Below are 13373 nucleotides of genomic sequence, written 5' to 3' on the forward strand. Positions count from 1 at the left end.
TTATACAAAACAGCAAACTATATGAAAACTTAGTTTACAGAAAAGGAAATACAAATGACCTTTAAGTAATAAAATGCTACTCCTCACTCATAATAAAAAACAGACAAAAATTACATTGAGATCTAATTTTCACCTATCAAAATGTCAAGAATATGGAAACGTTTTCATAAAATACTTCTGAAGATGCTGATGAAAATAAGAACCCTCACACACCGCTTGTGAGAACATTCTTGGGAAAATGCCTATGAAGGGCAATTTGATAATATCTATCAGAACTACAAATAAATGTGCTTTTTGACCTAGCAATTTTACTTGTGCAAATATATTCAACATATATTCCACACATACATGTACAAGTTTGCAGCATAATTCACAATGTAAGAAATTGGAATGAGTCACATTATCCATCAATTGGCACTGGTTCAATTAATTACAGTATATCCCTATAATGAAATATTATACAGCTATGAAAAAGAAGGAGGAAGCTCTCCATACTATTATCCATAATACCTATTATCCTCTTAATCTTCACAGCCTGCGAGGCCACTGTAGGTTTAGCCCTACTAGTTCAGGCATAGAATGATTTCCAAGAACTTAAGTTAAAAAGAAAAAGATCTAGATACAGAACACCATGTGTAGTATGCTACATTTTATGAGTAAGAGTCCGAAAAGATCTTTTATGTGCTGTATATGCATTAAGCAATTCAAGAATACATAAGAAACTAAAAACAGTGGCTCTCTCCGTAACAGTGGGGAAATTTGGAAGATCAGTGACAGAATGGGAAAGAAGCTTTAATTATATTGTTTTCCACAATTTAGAAATATATGAACCATATGAATGCTTTATTGAAAGTTGAAAGAATTGATTCATAAGTTTTTCAAAGTTTCCCTAAATTGGCTGAGTAGTTTAGTCACTCATTTACCCAAAACACAGATATTTTAAGGTGAAATGTATATATTCCTGTAGAGCAGGAGAAAACAAATTGCCATGGGCATCAGCCTATCTTTTTCAAACTCAGAATTTAAAGCCTCAAACTATGGGAATAAAATATCTAAAAATTACTGACATTTTCACACAACCTCATACTTGTACTTTTGCTAAGACTTTGATCCTCAACTTTTGTTCCTAAGCACCAAGAGTTAATAGGAGTTCCTCATGGCCATTAGTGGATGGGCTTAGTTGTATGAATAATGCAACAGAAGAGGCTTTGCTGTCTTCATCTCACTCTTCCACTAAGCCAGCTACTGGCTTTAGTTGTCATTTCCAAGGACCACAAGATCAGTGAGGATTATACACTCTGGACTTCCTGACTACTAGCAGTGAAAATCAATAAAAATGATTGGTCATTTAGCATAATATATCTTGGAATAATGGGAAATTTCCCATTTGGTAACAGCTTGATTTTGAAACTCTGGTTTTTCATGCAGCTTGTTGAGATGTATCTCAGGAGCTGTCTTCTTGGATGACCAAATATATCATGGGTCAGAGAGACAAGGATTTATTTTAATACATCATGGACGCTTAATGATGCTTTGGCACTGTGGTTCATAATGAGCAGCTGTTTGCAGCGGCATTGCCTGCAGTCCTAATGGGGCCTTCATCGGGTTTCAGAGCTGGTTGCTAAGTAGGTGTTGGTGAATACAGATTTTGAAGTAGAAGACTTCCATCTGCCTTTAAAACTTTTCAAAAAATTATGCATTCCTTATCCTTGCCCAAACAGTAGGCTCACAAATGGAAATTGCTGATTTATTTTTAAGCAAGTAAAATATAAATAAATAGACTTATTTTTCCAACATTCTGTTACTAGGAGAAATTTCAGAGTTTGCTTAGCCAGATTTTCCCAGTCTCTACCCCATTCTCAGTTTGCATGTATGAGGAAGCCCTTAGAGAGATAATGTGATGAAATCAAAAGAGCAGAAGCATCTCTGTTTGAATTCTGACTCTATGCTTAGTAGCACCGGAGTCCTTGGGCGAGTTACTTACCTCTGAGCTCAGCTTTCTCATATAAAGGAATAATGATAATACTGCTTTGTACGGTAGTTCTGAGGATAAGAAAAATGTATATTAAAAGTGGCTGTTACATCAAAGACACTCAAAAAATATACGTTATTATTTTATCAAGGGTCATAACTTCCAGCTTTTGCAAACCAGTTAAGGTCTAGGAGTAGTTCCAGGAAATAGGTGAGCCATTCCTTTTGGCAGGGCATTCCCTCTTTCTCTTAGTTAATTAGGTGAAGATACAATATACTCCAGAAGGGTCACTCCATTTTCTTTAGGTGGCCAGGTTAGTGACATTAAATGAGAAAGTGTCATTCTTATTCAAGACTTTTAAAAAATAGAATAAGCTTCCTGTTAGTTTTCTTAAACTTAGACTTCAATATACTCAATTCAGCAAGTCTCCAATCAGTTTCATCTCAATCTCAGACCCTTGCATTAATGGTGAAAAAGACAGACATAATTATTGTCCTTGTGAATCCTAAAATTTAATGAGTTTTAGGTAAAAAATAAGCAGGCAATTAAAAATGGTGTGATACATGCTACAATAGAGAATCTACAGAATGCTGTATCAACAAAAACGTAGAGCTTGGCAGAGCATAGGGGAACAGTCAGATAAGGCTAGCTTCAGAGACCTAATGGGTAAATAAGAGTTACCCAGAGGAATGTGGTGCATGGTGCTCGGGTGGGGAACAGACAGAAGGAACAGAAGTAGGTGAAGACTAGTGAAAAAATGAAGGGGCTAAAGAGTTGAGCAGTGAGCATACCCGGCAGGGTCATCTGAGTGAAGGTTTTGTACACTATCCAAAGAGCAAAAGGCAGATTTCAGTGTGCTTTAAGCAGGGGAAGGCACCATCAGATCTGTGTTTTAGAAGTATCAGTGACGGTAGGCTGCAGAATGGATTCAAGGTAATCAGACCAAAGACAACAAGCCACTAGCAAGCGGTCGCAGTAAGCCAGGTGAGAGATGAAGCTTTACTAGAGAACTAGCAATAGGACCTTGAAATAGAAAGGATTTTCTGGGTAATAACCTCATATTGCACATAAATCTTAGCAAATTTTACCAGTTAAAGTAAACTGGTAAAAATTTCAACTAATCACAAACTTTGTGAGTTTAGTTTCAACTGGCAAAGCATTCCTACACAAATAGGCTCTAGCCATGGAATCATTTACTTTAAAAATCTGCAGGGACTGGCATGTGTACAAAGCACTCTGGACTTACAAAGCTAAAACTGCCACTGTTGGTCCAGTAGGGCAAATACAACAAATAGAAAAATAACTTGAATAGAAGGTATATGTCTTCTGTAGCATAAAAAAAAAACATTTTCAACAAACATTGGTCAAATAAATTTTACAAATAAGTCAATGATGTTAGTTTATGTTAGGCCTTAAAGACTGGAGATGGGAGGACAGTTCTGGGAGGATCTTACTTTTGCAGCTTCGCTCACACAGTCTCCTTAAGGTGGATATTAAGGTGGATATATGTCATATCCACTTGCATCATACCATATTCATATCCACATTTAGGAGACTCTGAGTGAAGATGCAGAGATAGGAAAATAGGGATTGTTTTCTGGGAACATGAAAGAGCTTCATTCAGTGAAGCATACAATTTCTGCACAGGGAGAGGCTGTAGTAAAAAATGGTAGGAAAGAACACACAAACAAGATGTAGTGAAGAATAACAAAATGTAGATAAGAGAATGCAGACATTTGAAAGACAGATATTTTGAAATTCTTTCAAAAAGAGGAAAACATTGGAGGTTCTGGGTATGAAAGTAGATAAGCCAGTGTCAGACCCGTTGACTTAATTGATTAATTTCTTGTCTTTACTCTCTTTCGTGCTTTATGTTCTACTATGCAAACATGTGTATGCATATGTACACATATTATAGTGGGTTGGTGAGTCTGTAATGCAAACATTTCTTTTAGGAATTTGGAGCCCTCCATGCAAATCCTTATGCTAAGTCCCTTTCCACCTTGTGCTCTTTCTTGTCTTTTTCTTTTCTCACAGATGCTTCACTTCAAACTTCTCCATACTTTCTCTCCTATTGTGTGGTTTGCAGCTCTCTTACCATGCTGGCTCTCTCTGTGGTCAGACATGACTCTGCCATCAGGAACAGCTGGCACACTCTCTGCAGAGCCTGCCCTCCCCTGCCACTCCTTTGACCCCAGCCCCTTTCAGAGACCAGTATTTACCAGTACAGGCTTCACCCTCTAACATCCAGAGCAAAAGCTGCATTCCATATGGAGGTGACAACTGTAATTCTGTTTTAACTAGGAGTAGTAAGAACTGGACATCTACTCCTTGGAAACCCTGGCTTTGAAGCAAAAAGACTGTTCTATTTTTAATCCTATTACAGATCAGCCTTCAGGAGCTAAAACATCTATGCTGCCTATGGTGTTTTGGGTTTCCTCCAAATGTCTCAGAAGCATCTTTGAGCATGATTGCAATGGGTTCTTAATTTATGGAGATTTACACAGCAGGAGATGGAATTTTAACTCTGCCAGCCATGTTCATTGGTTTCACATGGCCTGGTCTGGAGCAACTCTATCTGATGGAGACTAGGGTTGCATCTATCCCCACACCCAGCCTACCCCCACCACACACACCCATATCTAATAACCTCATTATAAGAGGGAAAAATCCTCATGATATACAGGTGTGGTAGAAGAGGGACTTAATAATTTTTGACATTCAAATCAAGAGCTACACAGCAATTTTTTTCTGGTCCACGTCCTGGTATAGAGCTTTACAATTCCCATCAGTTCAGCAAATATATACCAATAATTCACCAGGTACTAGGCCTGGAAAAACACCAACAATTGAGAAATACGTAACCTCTTCTCTCATTGACCTTATAATCAGGTAAAGGAAAAAGTAAATGGAATAAAATGATACTATATTGTGACAAGCGCCCGACAGATGTGCTGTGGGAGCAGGGGAAGAATATCCTTTCATAAATAAGTAGCACAGATGCCTAGAGCCTTGGAGCACAGGCAGACAGACAGGGTCAGAATCCCAGCTGGAGCACTTCCTAGCTCTGCAACCTTGGGCATGTTACTCAACCTCTCTGTGCCACAGTTTCTTTATCTGTAAAATTGAGATAAGGAAATACTTGCCTAATGGGATAGATGTGAGGATTAAATGAGAAACTACATGAAGAGCAACCGGCACAAGGCATGGCACATAGACAATGCTCAGTAAATGTTGACTAATATAGGATTTTTGTTATTTGCACTCCAAACAAATACCCATTTAGTATTGGTCCAATCACATCAGACCACTTCTTGGATCCTAAACATGCTCTGTCGCCATGCATTTATTCACATTGTTCTCTCCATCTAGTTGCCCTTCCTCTTTCACTGCATGTATTAAAACTCTACCCATCAGTATTAGTTTCCCATGAATGCTGTAATGAATTACCACAAACTAGGTGGCTTAAAACAACAGAAATTTATTTTATCATAGCTCTGGAGGCCAGAATTATGACATCCAAGTTATTGGCAGGGCTACACCCCATCTGAGTGGAATGAAGCGATCTCGGCTCACTGCAACCTCCGCCTCCCGGGTTCAAGAAATTCTCCTGCCTCAGCCTCTTGAGTAGCTGGAATTACAGGTGCCCACCACCATGTCGAGCTAATTTTTTGTATTTTTAGTAGAAATGGGGTTTCACCAAGTTAGCCAAGCCAGTCTTGAACTCCTGATCTCAGGTGATCTGCCCACCTCAGTCTCCCAAAGTGTCAGGATTACAAGCGTGAGCCACCATGCCCGGCCCTCCTCCAGGTTCTAATGACTGACCACATTCCTTGGCTAATGTCCCCACCTCTCCAATCTCTGCCTCTGTGGTCACAATGCCTCTTCCTATCTATCTATAAAATCTTTTTCTGTCTTATTTTTATAAGGATCGTTGTCATTGGATTTAAGAGGGCCTACCCTGATAATACAGGATAAACTCCTTCTCCCAAAACCTTTTCTTCTCTCAGAATCTTTTGGCAGGTAAGGTAATATTTACTCTTTAAATATATAAGGTAATATGCATAGGTTCTGGGGATTAGCACATGGACATATCTTTTGGGACCACCATTTAGCCCTCTGGGCCACTTCTTAAGAACCAAATAAATGTCCCTTTCAGCATGAAGCCTTCCCTGACAGTATCCAGCTCAAAGTAGTCTTTCCACAACTTGAGACTCCATAACACTATTTTTATATCTCTTAACACATTACTATGCTTTAAATTCTTAAGACAGTTATTTTTCTGCAAATCTAATTTTTCCTATCAGACTGCTTCTTATAAAGATAGCTAGACCAAAGGACCTTCACTTATTCTTCCAAACTGAAGATTGTATATTTTTCTACTTTAAGTTATTTGACTTTAGGGACCATGATGTTTTAACTTTGTTTGCCTATTGATGTCTACTAAACTCTTCAGCAAATAATAGACTAAAGTAAATCTTTCTTGCATGGATGGATCACAGGATAGAAGGATGTATACATGATTGATGTTTTTCAGCCTTTAAAAGTAGTTTTGTTTCAGAAGCATACAGAGGCAAATATGTTTCACCAAAATATTTCAAACAGTGGCCCTGTGAAGATTCTGTCAGAACAGCTTTCTAACATTAGGAGGGAATATTTTGATTCTGAATCATTTCTTCACACCTCCTGCAGAGCAGGGTATAAGTCTCTTGTATAGCATTTTCTCATCATGTCATGTAAAGTAGGGAAAGCATGTTCTTCCTCACAGTAGCTGGAGACTCTTTCTTGGGCAATGACAGTGAACATGCTAGGCTTTGGCTTATAGTTGGGGAAATCCACTTTGCAGTTGGCAGGACACATAACCAAATTACAGAATTTGTCATGCCGCCCTGCTAGCTTCTAATTATCGATGATCATGTTGAAGTCTGGAGGGCAAAGTGTAGTTATAAAGTATGGCAATAAAGTTGTCCTTGGTTGGACCATCATTTTGTAATGTGCAAGCAGTGACTGATGTGACAGGCTACACCACAGGCCATCTGCAGTCTACCGAAAGGATGTGTCTGGCTCCAACACCAGGCTCAGGCTACTCTCGAACTTGACATTTTGCGTGAACAGCTGGAAGGTACACAGGCTTATGGTGCTATGCTCCAGCTTCATTTTCACTCCATAAGCTCCTCTGAATAAAACTAAATATGCAGATTCACATCCATCTGCTAACCAAAACCTCCTCACTGTTGAAGGACTGTCTCAACACTGCCTAGTATTTGATCTTTTAGGCATTAAAACTTGAGCAGGGGATTTGGAAATACCAGGGAGGGAAGCCTTACTAGAATTCTAGGAGCTCCACATAGACCACAGGGAGCTTAAAGCTAGAGTATCTTACTATGAATATCAGAAAGAAGGCAATAAAAGCTAAAACACAGAAATAGCTTGGATTTCCCCCAGCGCACATGTGCAGATGCCTGCCTGCTAGGATACCCAGTGTCAAGACCAGAGTTCCATCTCTATCTCTAGGCTCATCCCATAGCTTTAGATACAATTCCCCTTCCTCTCTGACTTTGTTTTTGGATTACTGTTTTTCACTATGTGTTCAGTGGTGGGTAATATTATTATACTCTATTTTATGGCTTTTTATGAAACCATTATTTTGGAAATAAGAAGTATTTAGGAACACAAGTAAATAGAAATAGAAGGAAATAAAAGATCATAAACTGCTTATCAAATATTAAAATGTGGGAAAATTACATTTTTTAAAAAAGAAAAGAACAACAGATTTGCCTGCTAGGAAAAGAACTGTCCTTGGCTTGGAAGAAATGAGCTATAGTTCAAACTTACTAGTAACTGTGGGTCCTTAAATAAGTCACTCTTTTGCTCCATGATTTGTGTCTTATTCCACCTTTTAGCAAACACATTCAAGCATCTTCTATGTGCCAAGAACTTGCTGGAAAACATCACAAAAGTTAATATTTTCTGGAGATCAAGGAATGAAACTCAGCCCTCTGCAAGTATGATTTCATTTGATGTCACACCAGTTTAATTAAATTAGTGCTATAATCCCTCACTTTATAGATGGGGAAACTAGTATTAAAGAGTTTGCACAGTGGTAAGCCGTGAAACTGTAATTCAAATCAGACTCTAGGGCTCTAAAACTCTGACACTAACACAACAGACTGCTTTCAAGGAGCCCAGGATACAGACAATTGCAACCCTGCTTGGAACAATAATTAGACAAAAAATAAAAATAAAAGCAACCCAAAATAAGTTTTTGAAAACATATTTTAGTAAATTGGAAGGAGACTAGAAAAAGCATATAATAAAAAGGAAGAGGAAATAAAACTTATCAAGATGATGTTGTCTGAAGAGTCAATTAGAATATTCTACTCTAGATGCTGAATGTTTCTCCCATATGCATAATGATTGCCCTTTTATTGCTTAGGTCTATGCATGATCTCCTCTAGTACCAGCAAGAAATTTCCTGAAATATTCTTGATTATAGCATGGCCCTGACCTGAACATAGTTCTAAAATGTACTCTGGCCATCAAAAGAGAAGATGTTTGACAGCTTTGCCTTCACTGTGTGACAGGTCTATATTCAAGATTTGCATGAGAATATTTGTACTTTTCATTGGGAACAGATGGACCAGCAGTTTAACATGAAAATGAACCCAGGCGTAGCAGTCAGTAGTAGAGAGTTGAAAGCAAAGAAGGCAAGTCCCAAAGAAGCCTGGGAAGTGATGAGCACTGGAGCTAAGGGAAGGTGCATTCACTGAGCACATTCCTTCATCTCAACTGTTTGTTTATTCATTTAAAATGTAAAGTTGGCTTAATACACAAGACCAAAAAGTTTCTTTAAAAACCACCTCTCATTTAAGGACCAATTTGATGATCACCTCCACACTGCTGCCTTTGCTGACTAAAAATAGATTAGGCCCACAGAGCTTTGTACATTTTATTAAAGCATTTATATGAGTCATCACATTTAATTCTATATTAACACTCTGCCTCCTCAGATGGAACACAAACGCCTGGTACATGGATGCTACAATGAAAAGAATATGGGTGCTGAAATCAGAGAGAATCATCCAAGGTCAGAATTGAAAGTGACAGAATTAAGTTAATTAACCTTGTAAGCCTTCTTTTCTTCATCTGCCAATTGGAGATGATAATAATGTCTACTTACTAGAAGTCATGTGAGGAGAAATTAAGAAAATACATGGAAAATATTAACACAGTTCTCGTCACTCAACAAAGCTGAAATGTGAAAGTATTTTTACTAGTCTCATCTCCCTGATGCCAAATCAAAATGCTGATAATTAACTGGATGAATACTATTTTGCCTATGGCTTATAATTAGAATAATCAATATAATAAAACCACAGAAACCATGGAAAATAACTAGAATTATCTGTGAGAAACACTGTGGGTATTGATGAAAACTGTCCTAAAAGATTTTCCATGTCTTGGTGGTCCTCTTATATTTGTCAAGGGTACTGAAGTAAAATATGAGTCCAGACCCCTCTTCCCAGGCATCCAATGCATTCATAATTTTCTCCCTTTATCCCCAGGGTCCCAAATTAAGGTAAGCACTTACTAGCAAGTTCCTCAGGCTCTAGACTGCTCTGGAGTGGCTCTTTGACTTTGAGCAAATTATTCTATTTCTGCATCTCTAAAGGAGTAATAATAAACCTACTTTATAACAATCTCATGAGGATTACATTTGAAAATATGCATAAAGTAACTCCATAAAATATACTATAAATGCAATTTTTTTCTCCCTCCTTTTCACCCTCCTCACCATTCTGATAAAGTGTCCTGATAATAAAAAGAGTAAAATGATAGATTCAGTCACACCTAGGTATCAATGACTAAAGTCAAAGCTTTTCCTCTGCTATTCCCAGCCTCTTTGGCTTGCCTTTTCCCACAGCTGGGACCACTTAATTCCCACATGCAGGTTTAGACCTGCTCCTCCCCCTGGGACTGCCTTGCTTTCATGCCACAGGCATTTAAACACCTTCCTCCCAACTTGGGCAAGGGAGAGGAAAAGAAATAATTCACAAATCCACCCATCCATTCACTCATGCCATCATTTAGTAAACATTTAATGAACAGATATCATGTGCCAGGCTCTGAACTAAGTACTAGAGACATGAAGACAACAACAAATCATAATGATAATACATGGTCCATGCCCTCATATTGCTCACAATTTAGTGAGCGAGACAGAAATGTAAACAGAACACTGCAATGCAGCCTGATGAGTACAATGCAAGATGCAGAAATAAGCTCCAGTGGAGAGATGCTTGAGTTGTGTCTGTGTCATTAAGAAAAAGCAGCAGCTCATGTATCTCTACCTCAAATGCTAATTCTGGTTTTTCATTACCTTTCTTGGCAACCCAGTGCCTCCAGGGCAGGAGTCCTGCTTTGCTCTAGTCAATGGCTCTCTCAGAGACCCAAGTCCTTTCTTTGCACCCAAGCCAATGATTAGGGCCCAAACCATGTTAGTAGGCTGCTCTGATGTTCTTACCCATGCCTGGATTCCTGAGGTTGCCTCCCCAGGTGACCCACAAGCCTATTGGACACATGTCTAGGCTCTGCAGTATTCTCTGAGTTACCATAAAATAGCATGCATGCTGTCTTGCCAAACAAGAATTTCTCTCTGCACCTACAGGTGGGTCTCCTCTGTCCTTACAATCTCCAGTCACACCTTAACCACTTTTCCAGATGATCCTTATGCATGCTGAACTCTGAGAGCCACCAGTGAAGAAGATAAGTGACCCATCTACCTGTAGCTGGAAAATAAAGGCTCTTTGGGATTCTTTCCCATGAGTCTTCATTTCACCATATTGGTGAGAGAAGGCATTCAGGCCCAATAATTAACTGAACATTAGCTGTGTACCAGACACTGTGGTCGACATTGAGATATAACGGTGAGTGAAGGCACAGCACGTGGGGCTTCCTATAGTCACATATGTGACCCATACGCTAGAACAGTTTTACCCACGGTGTGAATGGTGATAGGTATGGAAGGAATAGTTGTATGTTTGTCTCCAGTGTCCCATGGTTCCAAAAAATGCTATGTCTGCAGAGGTCCCAATATCTGAAGGTAATAAAATTAAATAAGTGCCAATAGCCAGGTAGGTCTCTTTCCTGTCTTAACTCTCTTTGATTCTCACAGTCTCTTATGAGAGCTATACATTAAACATAATTATACTAAAAACACACTTTTAAGAACAATTGAGATAGGGCTAAAAATAAAAAGTAGCTACAATATGGCAGGAATTGTTCTGCATATAAAGTCCAAGAAAAGGTAAATTAGAGACAATTTCTGCTTTAAGTAGCTCACAGTAGGGAAAGAAAATAGTATAAAAATTACCATGAAATATAAATTATAAAATGCTTTATGTTCAAGTGATTGATTGATTGTGCATGTGAAGGATGATTTTTACAAGTGCCTGAAAAAACTGAGTTCCACATTTTATAGACTATTGATTTGGAATTGTAGATGCCGAGTCACCTCCACCTAACTATCAGATTGACAATTTTCTGGATGTATTTCAATGGTGAAGCATTTTTCAAGAAAGGTACATTGCAATGCCTTCACATACCTGATGACAAGAGAAGATTATGCAGTTATATAATAACAGCCTCCATTTGCTAGTCCTAACCTTATGCTCAGCATCATGCCAAGACACAGAGTATTATAAATAATTCTCACAAGTATCCTATAAAGTCAGCAATATTGTTGTTGCCAGTTTTCAGATGAAGAAACTGAGTTTCAGAGACAACAGTTAACTTGCTAGATCAAGGGCCAGGCAGTGACAAAACTGATTTGGACCCATGTCTCTCTCACTCCAGCACCCAAAATCTTTTCTGCTATGGCATGCTACCTTGAATACACCTTATCCTCTCTAAATTTTGATTTTATTTTTTATTTTGGCCTACCAAAATAAAAAATTTTTCTGAGTTCCTTACATTCACATTTACTGCATGCTTACTCATGCCAGATGCTGTGCCGTGGATACTAATGCAAACAAAACCTTCATCCCTAAAGGAATTCAATCTTCCCACACCTTTTGATTAGAAAATTTGGTGCTATTAATTATCACATGTTCCATAGCCTTTCATTTAACATATTATACCCATATGAAGCACCTACTTATACAAGACACTAGTGGCTTTGACCTCAAGGGGCTCCTAGTCTAGTAGAGGGAGAAAAAAGGATTTTAAGCCAACATAATTAATACAACTAATATAATATTAGAGATATGAAGGAGGGGCTATGCAAACTCAGATGGGTGGGAGAGGTCAGAGAGAACTTCTTGGAAGAGGAATGGAATCCTGCATGAATTCCAGAGGGTGAGTAGAATCAGGGTAAAGTGAAGAGTGGATTGTGAGAACATTTGAGGCAAAAAGGCTACAATGTTTTTTTCCAGAATCAGAAGGGCAACCACACCTAAATCAACATTAATTTTCCTAACTCATTATGCAAGCACTAAGCACAGGGTTATGCCAGAACACTGGGGTTAGCATTAGGCAGATCCAGTTTCAAAATTGGCAATCTCTATTCCCTCACCTATAAAATGGGGATAACACCTATTGTGAGGCATGAATAAAATAACTCATAGCCACAGAGTTTAACAGTGGTAAGCATTATTGGTGTTGTTATTGGCATGGCTATAGCACAGAGTGACAGAGCAGGTCTGTCCATTACCATCTGATTAGGGGCTTATATTATACGTTGTTTCAAGCCATAAAATAATGTTGCAGAATCTCCCTCATAGTCTCAGAGGGAGGATATGGATCAATGCTGTTTATGGTATGAGAGCCATAATTCTCCTGTGATCAGGCCAGACACGTCTATGAACAACACATACAGGAGAAAGCAGCAACTGACATCCATTTTTGCTTTGTTTTCTAAGAATGGTAGTGGCCTCAGATTACTTTCTTCCTCTCAGTGAGCTTGAGCAGAACAAAAACAGAATTTATTTTATTGTACTGCCAACACTTCATTTCATTTCCCTGGAATAATTCTCTGGGTATATCCTTGGCTGTTTCTTATTTGTCAGTCCTTTCCCAGTGCAGCTTAGGACATCTTAGAGGAGAGATGCTGAATCAATATTTGATCTTTATGTGGGTCCTGGAAAAGCCCTGAGTACACAACAGTGAGTTTATGCAGAGTCCAAAGCTGCCTTGAATGGAGCCCTGTCCAACTGGGTTAGCTCCTGACCTAGAAGTGAAGCGTGGCTACAAAGCTACTTCTTGTATTTTGCCCAGGGCCCCAGAAGAGTCCAGGACATCTAGCTTTAAGAGGTTATGATATGGCTGTCTTAGGGCCACAACCACCACCTCCATACCGACACTTGGAATTACCTTTTCAGTTACCAGCTCTGAAATGGGTATT

General features: G+C 38.7%; 1 long non-coding RNA gene across 5 annotated transcripts in view; it reads left to right on the forward strand.

Annotated features, from left to right (window-relative positions):
- LINC02756 (long intergenic non-protein coding RNA 2756) overlaps positions 1–13373 on the forward strand; it is a 78165-nt gene that overhangs the window by 39388 nt on the left and 25404 nt on the right. For 3 of the 5 annotated variants that reach the window (NR_187311.1, NR_187309.1, NR_187312.1), the window contains 4 exons: positions 5902–5995; positions 7876–7977; positions 8983–9059; positions 10694–10899. This is a non-coding gene — a long non-coding RNA (long intergenic non-protein coding RNA 2756). Of the gene's footprint in view, positions 1–5901; positions 5996–7875; positions 7978–8982; positions 9060–10640; positions 10900–13373 lie in introns of all 5 variants that reach the window. The other 2 variants (NR_187308.1, NR_187310.1) reach the window with 2 other exon arrangements.

Source organism: Homo sapiens, chromosome 11 (assembly GCF_000001405.40).
Source record: "Homo sapiens chromosome 11, GRCh38.p14 Primary Assembly".
In the NCBI taxonomy this organism is placed as follows: Eukaryota; Metazoa; Chordata; class Mammalia; order Primates; family Hominidae; genus Homo; species Homo sapiens.